The sequence below is a fragment of the Homo sapiens genome, chromosome 7 (assembly GCF_000001405.40).
Source record: "Homo sapiens chromosome 7, GRCh38.p14 Primary Assembly".
NCBI lineage: Eukaryota > Metazoa > Chordata > Mammalia > Primates > Hominidae > Homo > Homo sapiens.
The window spans coordinates 37,865,345-37,878,567 of NC_000007.14; the positions used below are offsets into that span (position 1 = coordinate 37,865,345).

General features: G+C 38.6%; 1 protein-coding gene across 1 annotated transcript in view; it reads left to right on the forward strand.

The window, feature by feature from the left end:
• NME8 (NME/NM23 family member 8) overlaps positions 1-13,223 on the forward strand; it is a 51,801-nt gene that overhangs the window by 16,748 nt on the left and 21,830 nt on the right. Inside the window, exons 10-12 of the mRNA NM_016616.5 lie at positions 181-273; positions 2,358-2,554; positions 11,488-11,663. Of these exons, the coding sequence (NP_057700.3) occupies positions 181-273; positions 2,358-2,554; positions 11,488-11,663 (466 nt within the window). The remainder of the gene's footprint in view (positions 1-180; positions 274-2,357; positions 2,555-11,487; positions 11,664-13,223) is intronic.

The window sequence follows — 13,223 nt, forward strand, 5'->3', positions numbered from 1 at the left end:
TCAAATCTTAAAGTTTGTATATTTTTGAGCCACTTCAAACCAAGTGTCCTATAGATTTTGCTGAGGTTCTTATAGAAAATGTATTGAAAGCTGGTGGTTTGTTAAGCCCAAAAAACAAACTTAACTTGTTTTACATGTGATCCCACGACACCTGGATTTGACCTTACTCTCTAATTGAAGATTACCAAAGCTGGATTTATTATAGAAGCAGAGCATAAGACAGTGCTCACTGAAGAACAAGTTGTCAACTTCTATAGTCGAATAGCAGACCAGGTATGAAAGTTAAAAAGAAAAAATCCTCTATGTGTTTAAATACAGTGGCCTCCATAAGCTTTAAATCTTTATTACAGAAAAGCAAATTAGTAAGTCTGAACAACTAAAATAAGCTCCTGGTGTCCCTGTTGGTGTCCATATCATGGAGATGCCAATGATAGTGGCTCTGAAAAAAATCTTCGGTAGAAATAGTGGCTACCGAGCAAAACTGGATGGTCTGATTGTGTTTTGTTGACATGAAGACCTCTTTATGTCAGGCCCTCCAAGAGCCCCTGCATCAGTCCTCTGGAAGTGAATATCCAGTCATTTTCTATTGATTTTTATTCTGGGTTGAAGGCTCTGTCACCAGCTTCACAAGAATGCTTTAATCTTTTCTTTACCTAAGGGCCTTTCTCTCAGGCTGCCCCGACCCCAACTGCCCCACTCCTGCCACCTCCCTACCCCACCAACTCTTTTTTGTCTGGGGATATAATATAATAAAGGCAGTGCTGTGTATTAGAAAGTGTACTGGCTTGGGAGTCAGGAGACCTCACTTCTAGAAATGAACTGTCCAATATGGTAGCTACTAGATACATGTGATCATTTGAATTTAAATTCATTAAGATTAAATTACATTAAAAATGTGAAGTCTCAGTTGCACTAGCCACATTTTAAGTGTTCAAATCCACATGTGGCTACTGTGTTGGAAAGGGCAGAAGAGCATGTACGTCATCACATACCATTCTACTGGACATCACTTTGTGGAACTGACTGCACCACTCATGCCATCTCTGTTGGTCCCGGCTTCCATGTGTGTAGAAAGAAAGGGTTATGCCAACTGTATTCGCATTAACTGTAAACTTCTGAGAAAATCCAATTCCTGGGCCCCACCTCAGACTTACTAAATCAGAAACTGTAGGATTGGGCTCCAGAAATATGTGTTTTAACAAGCCCCGTAGATGACTTGGAAACATCCTAAATTTGGGAATATTGTTAGGTTACCTTTAAGATAAATTCCTACTAGCTTTGAACTTCTGCCACTTAAAAATGTAGGAGACTAGTGACTGGGAAGGGATAGGGAGAGATTTGTTAAAGATGTGAACCAAAAGTATCTGAGACAGGTTGCAATCAATTTAGAAAGTTTATTTTGCCAAGGTTAAGGACACGCCCATGACACAGCCTCAGGAGGCCCTGATGACATGTTTCCAAGGTGGTCGGGGCACAGCTTGATTTTATACATTTTAGGGAGACATGAGACATCAATCAATATGTGTAATACGTACATTGGTTCTTCCTGGAGAGGTGGGACAACTTGAAGCAGGGTTGCTTCCAGGTCTTAGGTAGATAAGAGACAATCAATAGCATTCTTCTGAGTCTCTGATGAGGCTTTTACTGAATACACGATTTACATGTGAGATGACATAGAGGAATAGTCACTTATGCCTTAGTCTTGCTTAGTGAATCTGCGTTTTTACATAAACAACTGAGCAGAGGAAGCCATCAGATGTGCATTTGTGTCTGGTGAGCAGCGGGATGACTTTTGGCTCTGTCTGTCCTCTGTCCCCTACCAGTGAAGATAAGCTATCAATTATCAATTTACATTGCCAGGGTGAAATCCAACAGAACTGTTTTAGGGTAAAGATCTTGAGGCCCACAAGGAATTTCCTTGTGGACAAATTATGAGGGAGGTATGTAGCTTTTTTTTTTTTAATCTTTGTAGCAATCTTATTTAGGAATAAAATGAGAGGCACGTTTGCCTGATGGAGTTCCCAGCTTGACTTTTCCCTTTGGCTTAGTGATTTTGGGGTCCAAGAGATTTATTTTTCTAAGGATACAAATTTACCCTGCTCTGGTTATTATACATTTTCTTTATTGAAACATCACTATGTCCCCCATGAATATATGCAATTATTTTTCAATAAAAAGCAAAAATAAAAACCCCCAAACAATAAAAATGTATTGTTAACAGGAGATTTATAAGAGTAACATTCCTTTGCCCAGGGACCATGGAGAGGGAAGATTTCATTTGACTTGGGTAGTGACCACCATTTTAGTCCATCCATTTCAGGAGCCTGAAGGAAACAGTTTATCATTTTATTTTGTAGTGTGACTTCGAAGAGTTTGTCTCTTTTATGACAAGTGGCTTAAGCTATATTCTAGTTGTATCTCAAGGAAGTAAACACAATCCTCCCTCTGAAGAAACCGAACCACAGACTGACACCGAACCTAACGAACGATCTGAGGATCAACCTGAGGTCGAAGCCCAGGTTACACCTGGAATGATGAAGAACAAACAAGACAGGTATAGCTCAAGACCAGGAATTGTGTTACTTGCAATGTGTTATTGGGTAATGAAGCGTAGTGTAGGCACCTCAGTACCTAAGGGCAAATGTTTTTATGTTAAAGGCATAAGTATTTCTTCCAGTCAACCTAACATACTGTATATTCAGAAGAGCTGTGTGCCAGGTGAAGTGTCAGATACCTGGCATTGGAAAAAGTAGTTGGCTTGTGGGTTGTAGGGTAGTAAGAATTTACAGATGACAGTGTAGGTTTGAAAGAAAAGTTTTGTTAGATAGAAAGAGCACTGCAGAAGAGTGCAGCGGGGCTCCTCAGTGAGAGAGGACTGAGCTCGCCATGGTGGATTTTTGTTTAGGGATATTTATGGACCTTAAAGCTGGAGCTTAAGGGTAATTTGGACCTTATTAGCCACACAGGTCATGATAAATAATTGCACTTGTAGACATGTTGGTGCCTTGATGTCAGCAAGGGTTGCACAATGAGTTTGAACATGCATGCATTCCGGAGATGTATAGAAATTCTAGTTACTTATAACTTTTTTTTTAAGCCTGGTACCAGATGCCAGCTTTAAATAATAGGGAAGTCTAGTTACTTCTAAATTCCTCAGATAAGGAGTTTTGCCTCTGGATAGTCAGCTTGGTGGCCCTCAGGTGATCTTTGCTCCCCTCACTGTGACTGCCCTGAAAGTTTATGTCAAGAACACTAGAAAGGGAGGCCTTTTCCCTGTTTGTCTTCCTAGAGCTGGGCATACCAGTCTGGCCACAAGGGCTGGGGCTTGAAGGGTGTATTGGAACCATGTATAATCCCTGCCAACTCAGTCTCCTCTCCCATCTCCCCACCTTCCCCTTCCACCTTCCCGGTGCCCTAAAAACATGAAACATGCACTTTTACTTTAGATGGTTTGTGGTTACAAATTACTGAGAACAAAACGGTTGTATATTTTTTGTTGATGGATTTTAAAATATTAGAAAATGGATATAAATAATTTGTAGAATGTTGGTTTTATGCGCTGCTGTTTGCGCCTGTTATTCCTCTGAAGACTCAGAGAATGGAGAGTGTAACAAAGCAGTTGTCAGGCTGCACCGGAAAGAAAGTCAGGTGAGCAAGAACATACTTAGAGTATCTGAGCCTTGAGGCTTCCTGGGATGTGTCTCCCCGTGCTTGGCAGCCCATCTCCATTGCATTTTCTGGCTGAGACTATCCAGAATGTCCCTTGTTGGTCCTTCTTGACTTATTAATGAATCATAGTGGCTTTTCTTGGGTGCCTACCTCTGTTGGCTCCTAGTGATGCCATATTTTTAGGAAGTGGGAGATCCTAATATCATTAATTCCAAGTTGTACGCAGGATAAAGGAACTCATAAGGTAAATCCTGCTGGCAAGGAGCTTTTTAAACAGTAGCAGTTACTTTCAGGGTTTTAAGGGAAAATAATAATGAGTGGGCTGAGGGAAGGTTTGTTGGGTAGGGTGTGTTAAGTTTAAAAAGATACCAGATTTTATCCTAGAAATTTTGAGCCATTCAAAAAACAAAAAGCGTTCTATGAAGCACTCATTAATGTGACGAGTGAAGTCATCATTCCATGGGGCTATTGTTTAGGTAGTAAACCTCCATTACAACCAACTTTGAGAAGCTCCAATTGTCCAATACTCGCATGACACCATGGACAATTTAGGCATGTTAATTGGCATGTCAGAAGGAAATGCCAGCAGCTCTCCCTCCAGAACAAGGGCAAGCACTATAGGGGCCAGATCAGAGTGAAATGAAATGTGTACACCTTGCTCTGGCACAGTCTACAGTATTTCCTTTCTAAACTTAGAGTCCCCATGTGCCTTTGGCCCATGTTTATCCCAAGCTGGCCACAGCAGACAGCATGGGACAGTGTGGAGCATGCTTGTTTGGTGTGCTCGGGCTCAGAAACTGATACTCAAAATATGGCGCTTTGACATGCTGAACTGAAAAAGCCTCACAATCTCTCTGACTTGCCCCAGCACTCCCGGCCAGCAGTCTCTCTCAAAGCACAGGATGAAGCTGAATTTCTTTTATCTGCCTAAGATCCTCAGATCCGACAGGAACAATTATTTTTCTTCCTCTCCCTATAAGACCAAGAATGTAACCACATCTGAACGGAGATAGTGTACAAGTTAATTTCTGTGCGTTGGTCCATTCATTCTCCCTCGTCATCCTTTACTGTCCTTCAACAGAATTCTTCTCCCTGCTCCCATTACCTGTTTTGCCAGATGGTCTATAACAGGGGTGTCCAATCTTTTGGCTTCCCTGGGGCACACTGGAAGAAGAAGAATTGTCTTGGGCCACACATAAAATACACTAACACTAATGATAGCTGATGAACTTAAAAAAAAAAAAAGAACTCGCAAAAAATATATATCATAATGTTTTTAAAAGTTTACCAATTTGAGCCGGGTGCGGTGGCTCATGCTTGTAATCCCAGCACTTTGGAGGGCCGAGACAGGCAGATCATGAGGTCAGGAGATCGAGACCAGCCTGATCAACATGGTGAAACCCAGTCTCGACTAAAAACACAAAAATTAGCTGGGTGTGGTGGTGCATGCCTGTAGTTCCAGCTACTTGGGAGACTGAGACAGGAGAATCGCTTGAACCTGGGAGGTAGAGATTGCAGTGAGTCAAGATCGAGCCACTGCACTCCAGCCTGGGTGACAGAGTGAGACTCCATCTCAAAAAAAAAAAAAAAAAAAAGTTTACCAATTTGTGTTGGGCCACATTCAAAGCCTTCCTGGGCCTCATGCAGCCAGTGGGCTGCAGGTTGGACAAGCTTGGTCTATAGGCTTCTGAACCTCATTGCAGGGTGGGTACTCACTCTGTGGTTCTCTCTGTGTACATGTTAATCAAATTTGTCTGCTTTTTCTCCAACTAATATACTTTTTGTCTGTTGATGCCCGTTGGTTTTTCAGTAAAACTTGAGAGGACAGAGGGGAAGCTTTCCCCTGACTTCTATAATGCTTGTTCTTATTTTCACAGCTCTTGCTCTGGAGGGAGGGCCTGATAGGCACTGTCACTTCCATGTGACATCTTTCAAGTAGGTCCAGAATCTAAAGGAATAAGGACAAAAAACTCTCATGCGTAATTTATTCAGTTGTTCACTTTCACTCTTTATTGCCCCCTCTCCCCTATCTCCCAGCCTGCTCACTCTCCTCTCTGGGTGGTGGGGATGGAGAGGGTGAGACAGGAGAGAAGTTAAAAGCAGAGCAATTGAACTGGGAGTGATTGGTGACCCCTCTGCGTACAGAGCAGCGGAGTCCCAGAGCTTTATTGGCTGGTTATTCCTGTGGAGACAAACACTCACAGCTTATGAATTCACATGCTGTGGGGAAACTCTCTCCATGCCATCGATGGTCTGCCTGCTCCAGTGGCTGCAGAAGGGTGGGGGAAGAGCCAGGGAAACAGGGCAGAGGTACCCATGTTTGTCATTCACATTCCAGCTTCTTTCATGATGGCTTTTTATTACATTATTTACATGTCTGTCTCTTTAATCAGCCTGTTTTAAGAAATCAAAGGATAGTGTAATTTATCTTTGCTTTCCAGTCTTTCTACAGATCAGGAAGGTGTGGTTCCATTAGCTACATTGCTCAGAGTCACACAGGTAGTAACTGGCAGAGTCTTCTCATTCATTCACTTATTCTGTTATGTGTTGATTCATTCATCTAGTATTTATTAAAGACCTACTATATGCCAAATCCTAGAGATACAAAGATGGGGAAGAATTAGATGATGACCTCTGAGCTCACTTTCAGTTTAAGTCTTTATGACAGAGTGAAGGTGACATTTCCAACCACCTCTACTATATTGTATTCCTCTGTCCATAGAAAATATCTATTCTCTTCTCAGTAGCCTCTCTATTTGTCCCTATACATGTCATAGCTATAGGGAGCTTAATTTTTTCCTTTATGATATTCTCATTTAAATTAAACATAATAGATACAATTCCTAAAATAATCCTTAAAAGTATTTCCGGGATCAGGGAAGTCTGAATGCTATACCCTGACTCTACTCCCATCTGCAAAGCTTTCTTTCCTCTCCATAGTCAAAGGGAAGCTTAACTGATAAGCAGCTGGCTGTCAGTGAGGTCTGGAGCTCTGTTCAGGTCCCTAGGGCAGGAGAAGATGAGGGTGGTGTGGTGTTTTCTCCACCGAGAGTTTGGGGAGCTCCTGAACTCCCCAGAAAACAAGGACCTGCAGACAACCACAGACCCTGAGAATAACAGACTTGTGGACTTCACTGAGACTTCCTGACTCCTAAAGGGCCAGGATAGAACTGAGTAGAATTATTGAATTCCTTGCCCTAGCTAGGTCTCTGGGGGCTTTTCCTGATTGCCCCTGCAGAAGAATAATGACCCACTGTCTTCTAAAGCACAAGCTTGTAGAGGTCATCTTGCCTTCCAACTACAGGGTTTCCAACACATATCAAAAATCAGACCTAAGCCCCAGTGAGCCATCAAGGAAAAATGAGTACCTGCCTAAGGGAGACTGGCAGCCAGAGAAAGGAAGGCCTGTACAAAAATCACAACACAAGTCTAGTGAAAAAGAACTGCTTAGAGACAGAAAAACCCTTAAATAAAATAACAATAAAAAAAGGACTTGAGATTCAATTGCTAGGTATACATTTAAAAAGCCTTTCAAACTTGAATTATACAAATTGTGATTTGAATTATAAGTTCAGTGGAGAATTGGTATGATCATCATTTGAGACTCAAATTAATGACATGGAAAGTCAGATGCAAGAAATATCTGAAAGTACACACAAAAAATTAGACAGGATGAGAGCAGAAGTCTGCAATCTGGATAATATGCTGAGGGGATCAATTGCTAATGAGAAACTCTGCACAGAGAAAGAACAGATGGACAAACTAACTCAACAAATAATGGGGGAATTTTTTTCCCAGAATAAATGCATTTGTCTGCCAATTGCAAGGGCTTACAATAGTCCACCCTCAACTGATGCCACCACACCCCCACCCCACACACAAATACAGGAACATCCTGGGAAGAAACACTGCACACTGTGTCCAGACAGACAGAGTAAGCACTTGTATACTTCATATGTTTGAAACCCAGAGCAGATCATCTTAACAGCCTCTTCCTCTGTATGATGAAATTATTTTTAAGTACTAGTTACTGAATGAGGCAAACAATTATGCTAGAATAAAAATACAGACAATGAAAATAGTCTTTTATGGGCCAGATGCCGTGGCTTGTGCCTGTAATCCCAGCATTTGAAGTCAGGAGCTCAAGACCAGCCTGGCCAACATGGTGAAACCCCGTCTCTACTAAACATGCAAAAATTGGCCAGGCGTGGTGGCCCATGCCTATAGTCCCAGCTACTTGGGAGGCTGAGGCAGGAGAATTGCTTGAACCCAGGAGGCGGAGATTGCAGTGAGCCAAAATTGCGCCACTGCACTCCAGCCTGGGCGACTGAGTGAGACTCTGTCTCAAAAAAAAAAAAAAAGAAAAGAAAATAGTCTTTATGTACCTTTGAATATATAAACATATGAGTATAAAATAAAAATAAATGTTACAGTGTCCCAAAGGAAACAAGTGATAGATGAATTGTTTAATTAATATTTTTAACAATAAAACACATGTATGTCTGTATATATTAATCTGTCACAGAAAATGAAGTAGTTTTTGCTTTTTGAAAGCTTTAATTTTTGAAGATTTGTCCATGATGTTCTCAAAATTGATCTCCACTCTATGTTTAATAGAAAAAGATAGGTGAAATTCCCATTTTACAGTACATTGCAGAAATTGCAATAATGCCAATAGCTTTGTTGTTTTTGGATTGATTCTATGTAGAGCACCATGTACAGCACACTACTTATGAAAGGATAAGTAATGAATATGTGTGAACTCCAAGAGTACATAGGCGCATTATCACTAATGTTGATTAGGAGTGCTGGTACATGGCGCTGATAAAAAGCAACCAGACTTTTAATTGGTTTTATTACTGATTTAAAATTGCACTTGCACTTTAGGTGGATCCCTTCCACCAACTGCATACTTGGCAGCAATTGAGAATAAGTTACTTACAAGGGAAAAATACTTGACTGCCATAGGGCTCATTTTAGGACTACTGGAAGAAAAAGGCTGCAACCCCTGCATTCTTACAAAGCTAAGATATTTACCTGGTAGAGCAAATGAAGATCTTCAAGGACATACTTAGCAATATATCACCTATATACTCCTTCTGTGGAAAATAAGTGAGGATATACTCAACCAAATCAAAAATATGGGAGGAAAAAAAAGAAAAACAGTTCTTAACAGTGAACCTTGGAATCTCTGAACACACACACAGACACATACAGTCCATAATTCTGGGTTTTATAATATAACAGCTGATGAAGGACTCTAGAAATAGAAGAAAATTCTTCTAGATTCTAAATTATCTCAACAAAACCTAGAGGTTTGTGGGTGTATGTGGCAAAATGGTTCAAAGATCAAGAAGGCAGTATTTTGACAGTTGTATTTTGAGGTTCTTATTTGCAGAAAGGGCATAAATGGAGTATTAAAGTTGGGAGATAGTGTGTCAGAATGCAAGAAATATTTGGGACATACGCATCTGACAACAGGGGCAGGAAAAAGACAGTAAACATTAATGCAGTGGATAAGTATAGTAAAACTTCCACATTAACAAGGGAAAAACATGGAATGAAGAGCAGTTTGCTCAGACCAGCAAAATAAGGGGAAAAAAGAAGAAACCTCAATTTAAAATAAATAGTCTAGATAAAGTAAGATGAAAAAAATAAAGTCAAGAATATGGCTATTAGGCTAACTATGAAAAGGTTAATTTTCCCGTCACATATAGACATTACTAGGTAAAGGTTAAAAAAACCTAATTTAAAAACCATCATATTAATGATGTGCACAAGAATCATCATTGGGTTTAAAAATATTGTGTGAAAAATATATACACAGTTTCATATAATGTCCTTAGAGATTACTTATTAATTATAAGGGGAAAATTGTAGCTTTTCAGTAGATAAAATGGGGGGATATCAACTACATTAATATCACCAATAATGGGAAAAACTGACATCATACACCTCCTATGTGATGGAGCAAGTAACGGACCAAGAAGGACGCAGGCTCATGAAGATAGTTTTCCTGCCAAAGGTTCATAACCAGAATGTAATAGGAAAGTACTGGGCCATCCAATAGTTTGAAACCATCCAAAATGAAGGGAAGTCTACAAACAACTGTCCTGGACTATTCAACATATCAATATCATGAAAGACAAAAGAGGTTGAGTCGCTGTTGGAGATAAAAGCAAATTAAGGAGATGGGACAACTACATGCAATATATAATCCTGGATTAATATAAAAATTACTACAGATAAGATGGTATTAGAAAATTGGTGAAAATTGAATACGGACTGTTTATGAGGTAATAATTTTGTATTAATGTAATATTTCCTGAAGTATTTAGAGGTGATTGGTTAAAATATCTGCAGCTTACTCTCAAATGGATCTGCCAAGACACACACACACACACACCCACACAGCCCCCCATAGCCCCCACACACATTGGGGGATGAAAGCAGGAGACAGAGAGAACAAATATGGGACAGTGTTAACAGTTGGTGAACCTAGATGAAGGGTGTAAATGGGAGTTCTTTGTCCTAGTCTTGCAACTTTTCTATTAATTTAATTTTTTTCAAAATAAAAAATTTAAACAACTTTTCTCATCTATATTCTGTTTAGAAAAAAAAAAGATGAAAATAAAGGGATGGCCAAAAAATAGCCAGGAAAAATAAAGTATTAACACTGATCATTAAAATTGCTAAATTTGATAAAGACACGATGTAGAAGGCAACATTTATGACAATACGGCACCCAAAAAAAGAAAAAATTGTGGCCCCACCAACATAACGGCTAAGTACCTAAGGAGGGAATTACTGGAAAAGTAAGGAGAACTGGAAAAAATACCTGCTAGCAGACAAGAATAAGTAAGGATGAGAGGAATTAAAAATACATATTCCATAAATAATATATAATAAATTGACTGGGCGCGGTGGCTCACGCCTATAATCCCAGCACTTTGGGAGGCCGAGACGGGCTGATCACAAGGTCAGGAGATCGAGACCATCCTGGGCAACATGGTGAAACTCCATCTCTACGAAAATACAAAAAAAATATTAGCTGGGCTGGGGGTGTGCGCCTGTAGTCCCAGCTACTCGGGAGGCGAGGCAGGGGAATAGCTTGAACTTGGGAGGCAGAGGTAGCAGTGAGCCAAGATTGCACCACTGCACTCCAGTCTGGTGACAGAGCGAGACTCCATCTCAAAAAAACACTATATATATATATATAGATAGATAGATAGATAGATAGATAGATAATAAATTATCTATAATATATGAAACATAAACATATATACAACCTTACACATTACAAATAATTTTTTCTTTTACACAAAGAATACCTCAACAAATTTTTAATCAAAATTTTACCACATATATTTTTCTGATTATAATCCAATAAAATTGGAAATAAACAATAAAAAGGTAATTGGAAATGTTCATTTGAAAATATGAAATGCACTTTTAGATAACCCTTAGTTCAAAGACAAGATTAAAAAGAAAATTAAAAACTATCTGGAAAGTTCTACATAGGGAAAAGAAAAATTTTTCCTTAAAAACACAAAATTTTATTTTGATCTTTGTTTATTCTCTCATAAAGTCAAACATAGATAATATCATGTAAGTAATTTTTGTAGTGGGCTCAATAAAAAGTTGAATTAAGTATCATATTCTTGGATATAATAGGGAGATGCAATTTATCTTTACATGACATTTAATTTTTGTTTTATTAAACTTCTAGTAATTTCTGAACATATCAGATTTAATTTGTTGGCATGGTTATAAACCTCAGTTTATAATAATCTTAAATTATATTTTGGATTTTGACAGTTTACAAGAATATCTGGAAAGACAACATTTAGCTCAGCTCTGTGACATTGAAGAGGATGCAGCTAATGTTGCTAAGTTCATGGATGCTTTCTTCCCCGATTTTAAAAAAATGAAAAGCATGAAATTAGAAAAGACATTGGCATTACTTCGACCAAATCTCTTTCATGAAAGGAAAGGTAGGGAATCAAGCATAAATTGTTTAAGTATTTTATATAGATGAGATTTGAATAAACCCTAGTATAATTGCATTTAAAGACATTGTTTTAAAATTTAACATTGAAGAAAACGCACCTTAAGAAATTAATGTATTAACTTACTAATATCTTAATAGTGAATAAAACATATTTGTAGCTGAAGAGTTTACAAGGTATTTTCTAATCTGTGAATTTGTTAGAGTAGATTTTAACATTGCAGGAATTATTACATAATAAAGATTTAAAGCTTCTATGTCTGAAATGCCCCAATTCAAAGCTTGGATCTACCATAACTGATAGTGTGACTTGAACAAGATATTTTACCAAGTTTATTTCTTCACGTGTAAAATTCAGAACATTAAAATGAGAAAACACAAATAAAGTACCTGGCACATAAAGAGTTAGTTCTTTTTAATCTCATCCCATATTCTTATAGCAGAGTGAATATGGCAGAACAAGAACACAAGTCATAAATTAACACTATTCATTCTTTTTTTATATCTAATATATGGAAACATAATTACCATTAATATTTATATATTGGCCTTTTATTCTCTGACTTGTCCAACTACCTAGGAGCTTTCTAGGAGCTTTGACGTAGTTTCCTTGGCATTTCTATGTAGACCAGGATTTCTCAACCTCAGACCGGCTTACATTTTGGGCCAGATCATTCTTTGTCCAGGGTGGAGGATTGACTGTGTTATGTGCATTGTAAAATGTGTAGCAGCATCCTTGGCCTCTACTCACTAAAAGTCAGTATCATACCCCCCTTCCCCTCTGCCCCACCTCTCAAATTGTGACAACGTCAAAAATGTCTCTGGAGGTTGCCAAATGCCCTTTGTAGGGCAAAATCTCTCCGGCTGAGAATCATTGATATACACAGTAATAGGGTTTGCAAAGTGAGATACTTGTTCCTCTTCATTTCCATCTGTATGCCTTTTATTTCTTTTTCTTTCCTCATTGAGCTAGCTAGCACATCCTGTATGACGCTGAATTGGAGTGATGAGAGGAGACATCTTTGCCTTGTACCTGATCTTATAGCAAAAGCATTTGGTCTTTTACCACTAAGTATGTTAGCTGTGTATGTCCTTTATCAGATTAAGAAAATTACCACCTCTTCCTAGTTTGGAGAGAATTTTTATCAGGAAAGGATGTTGTGTTTTTCTCAATTTTTTTGTATCTATTGATGTGATTATGTTTTTTCCTTCATTTTGATAACATGGTGGATTATTTTGATTATTGATGTTGAAACAGCCTTGCATTCTCCAGAAAAATCCCACTTGGCTGTCATGTATTATCCTTTTTACACACTGCAGGTTTTGATTTGCTAATATTTTGTTGAGAATTTTTGTGTCTATATTCAGGAGGGATATGTGTTGATTTCTTTTCTTGTAATGTTTTTATCTGGTTTTGGTGTCAGAGTAATGCAGGTTCATAAAGTGAGATGAGAAGCAGTCACTCCTATTTTATGGACGAGATAGTGTAGAATTTGAGTTATATCTTAAATGTTTACTGGAATTTGTGAGTAAAATGATTTAGACA